General features: G+C 48.7%; 1 annotated feature.

Moving 5' to 3' along the window:
- Positions 2154-2333: an enhancer, noted in NCBI's record as "active region_29540". NCBI's record gives its function as "activates an Ori minimal core promoter by ATAC-STARR-seq in GM12878 lymphoblastoid cells {active_cell/tissue: GM12878}" and the evidence as "EXISTENCE:reporter gene assay evidence [ECO:0000049][PMID:35858748]".

Consider the following 3385-nt stretch of genomic DNA (forward strand, 5'->3'; position numbering starts at 1 on the left):
TGGTGGCTGTATTGATAGGGCGGTCAGAGAGGTCTTATCAAGAAGGCGACATCAGCTGGGCGTGGTGGCTCACGCCTGTAATCCCAGCACTTTGGGAGGCTGAGGAGGGTGGATCACTTGAGGTCAGGAGTTCAAGACCAGCCTGGCCAGCATGGTGAAACCCTGTCTCTACTAAAAATACAAAAATTAGCTGGGCGTGGTGGCATGTGCCTGTAGTCCTAGCTACTCGGGAGACTGAGGCAGGAGAATTGCTTGAACCCGGGAGGTGGAGGTTGCAGTGAACAGCAATTGTGCCACTGCACTCCAGCCTGGGCAACAGAGCGAGGCTCTGTCTCAAAAAATAAAATAAAATAAAATTAAAAGAAGATGAAGGGCCAGGCGTGGTGGCTCACACCTGTAACCCCAGCACTTTGGGAGTCTGAGGTGGGCGGATCACGAGGTCAGGAGATTGAGACCATCCTGGCTAACACAGTGAACCCCTATCTCTACTAAAAATAAAAAAAATTAGCCGGGCATGGTGGCGGGCGCCTGTAGTCCCACCTACTCGGGAGGCTGAGGCAGGAGAATGGCATGAACCCGGGAGGCGGAGGTTGCGGTGAGCTAAGATCTCGCCACTGCACTCCAGCCTGGGCGACAGAGTGAGACTCTGTCTCAAAAAAAAAAAAAAAAAAAAAAAGTAGAAGAAGATGAAGAAGGTGACATTGGCGCAAAGGCTTGAAGGAGGTGAGAAATTAGACCAGGCTAATTATCTGGAGTAATAGTGGTTCAGGCAGGGGAACTGAGGGTGCAAAGGCCCTAAGGCAGGATTGTCTGGAACGCCTCAGAAATAGCAAGGAGATCTTGGCTGGGGCAGAGGGAGAAGGAAAATGGGAAATGCAGGCCCAGAGGTGAGGGCTGGGGCAGATGATCGTACCATCTTGATGGCCATTGGCAGGACTCTGGCTTTTACTTAGAGTAAAATGGGGAGCCAATGCAGGGTGTTGAGCAAAGGGGTGACATGATTCAACTTAGGTCTTAAAAAGATTACTTTTCTTTCTTTCTTTCTTTCTTTCTTTCTTTCTTTCTTTCTTTCTTTCTTTTTTCTTTCTTTCTTTCTTTCTTTCTTTCTTTCCTTCCTTCCTTCCTTCCTTCCTTCCTTCCTTCCTTCCTTCCTTCCTTTCTTTCTCTCTTTTCTTTTCTTTTTTTTTTTGAGACAGAATCTTGCTCTGTCGCCCAGGCTGGAGTGCAGTGGGGCGATCTCAGCTCACTGCAACCTCCGCCTCCTGGGTTCAAGCGATTCTCTTGTCTCAGCCTCCCGAGTAGCTGGGATTACAGGCACCGGCCACCATGCCAGGCTAATTTTTTTTTTTTTTTTTTTTTTTGGGTATTTTTAGTAGAGACAGGATTTCACCATGTTGGCCAGGCTGGTCTCGAACTCCTGACCTCAAGTGATCCTCCTGCCTTAGCCTCCCAAAGTGCTGGGATTACAGGCATGTAAAAGGACTACCTTTCTAATACACATTTTTCAAATTTCTCATGCAGAATAAAAAGGGAATAAGCATTATTAAATTTCAACACTGAGTTTCTAATATGTGCTAAGCATTGTGTGTTCCAGATGCTAGAAATATAGCAGGCTCTTCATTCAAGGAACTCACTGTGTTGTTTGTGGGGAGGATGTCGTGTTGGAGACAGGAAACAAATTCAATTACAACACTAAGTGAAGAAGCACAGAGGTGACAGGTGAAGGGAGTAAATTGCTTCCTGGGATGGGAAGAGTCAAGGAAGGCTTCCTGAAGGGATATCTGACCTGGGTTTTGAAGGCTGAATAGGAGTTTTCCAGGTGGACAAAGGGGGAAAGGTCATTTCAGCAGAGAAAACTACCTGTGGAAAGGAATGGAGACTTGAAAGAGCAGAGAACTGTAAGTAATTCAGAGAATGAGTGGACATTGTATTGTGGAATGTGCTGGAGGGGGTGGCAGAGATGAAGTTGAAGAGATAAAGGAGAGTGAGAGACAGAAAGAGTGAAAGAGAAGAAATGCCCATCTCCTTTTCCATGGCAGTTGAAGATGCAGTCTCTGCCCAGGTAATATGGTTTGGCTCTGTGTCCCCATACAAATCCCATGTCGAATTGTAATCCCCACGTGTCAGGGAAGGGGCTTGGTGAGAGGTGCATGAATCATGGGGACGGACTTCCCCCTTGCTGTTCTCATGATAGTGGGTGAGTTCTCATGAGATCTGGTTGTTTGAAAGTGTGTGGCACTTCCCCCTTTTCTCTCTCTCTCTCTCCTGCTCCTCCATGGTAAGATGTGCTTACTTCCCCTTCACCTTCTGGCATGATTGTAAGTTTCCTGGGGCCTCCCAGGCATGCTTCCTGTTAAGCCTGCAGAACTGTGAGTCAATTAAACCTCTCTTCTTCATAAGTTTAACTCAGTCTCAGGTAGTCCTTTATAGCAGTGTGAAAACGGACTAATACACTAGGCTTCACATGTCAACAACCATGTATCTGGTTTCTGATATTTCACCAGATCAAGTCTGGTATGTTCTCTGTGATGTATTTCTTCCTAGTGTGGGTTCCCCCAGAAGCAGACCCTGAGTGCAAGGAGTTTATTTGAGGGATGATCCCCAGAGACACCAGCAGGGGCACAGGGGACAGAGATAAGGAAGGGAAGCAGAGCTGTAGAGGGCGAGTGAATGGCAGGTGGGAAACAGCCTTAATCCTGCCAGGGTCCCCTGGGAACCAGCAAGGAATTTGCCCCAGAGTCGTCTCACTTGAGGGGCTGGGGCATTTATCCTCCTGTCCCATCACTCATGAGTTAAGGGCTGTTGCCTGGGGTTGATGATTCCTTGGCCCTCCCAGCCTGCCCTGCAGCCAGGGCCACCCCCATGCAAACAGCTGGAGATATGAAAGTGAGTACCTAGGGTGTATGCTTAGGCACCTACCACGTCTGTCACAATTTTTCCAAGGACCCACTAGGTATACACCACTGTGCCAGAGGGGCCTTGGGCCCACCTGTGGCCAAGGAGGACGCTGATATGAGTAGAGTCAAAGGGAGACCAATTGAATCCCACCCTCGGGCGTTGGGGGCTCCATCTTGCTGCAGTCCACGTGACATAGGCTCAGAGGAAAAGGGAGAGAGGGATGAGGAAAGGGCTGGCTGGGACATTGGTTCTGGTGTTAGTTGTAGTAGAAGAGTAAAAAATCTCTTTCTTTTAGGCTGGGCGTGGTGGCTCACACCTGTAATTGTAGCACTTTGGGAGGCCGAGGCGGTCAGATCACCCGAGGTCAGGAGTTCGAGACCAGCCTGGGCAACATGGTGAAACCCCATCTCTACTAAAAATATTTAAAAATTAGCTGGGTGTGGTGGTGGGTGCCTGTGTTCCCAGCTACTCAGGAGGCTGAGGCACA

The sequence above is a fragment of the Homo sapiens genome, chromosome X (assembly GCF_000001405.40).
Source record: "Homo sapiens chromosome X, GRCh38.p14 Primary Assembly".
Lineage (NCBI taxonomy): Eukaryota > Metazoa > Chordata > Mammalia > Primates > Hominidae > Homo > Homo sapiens.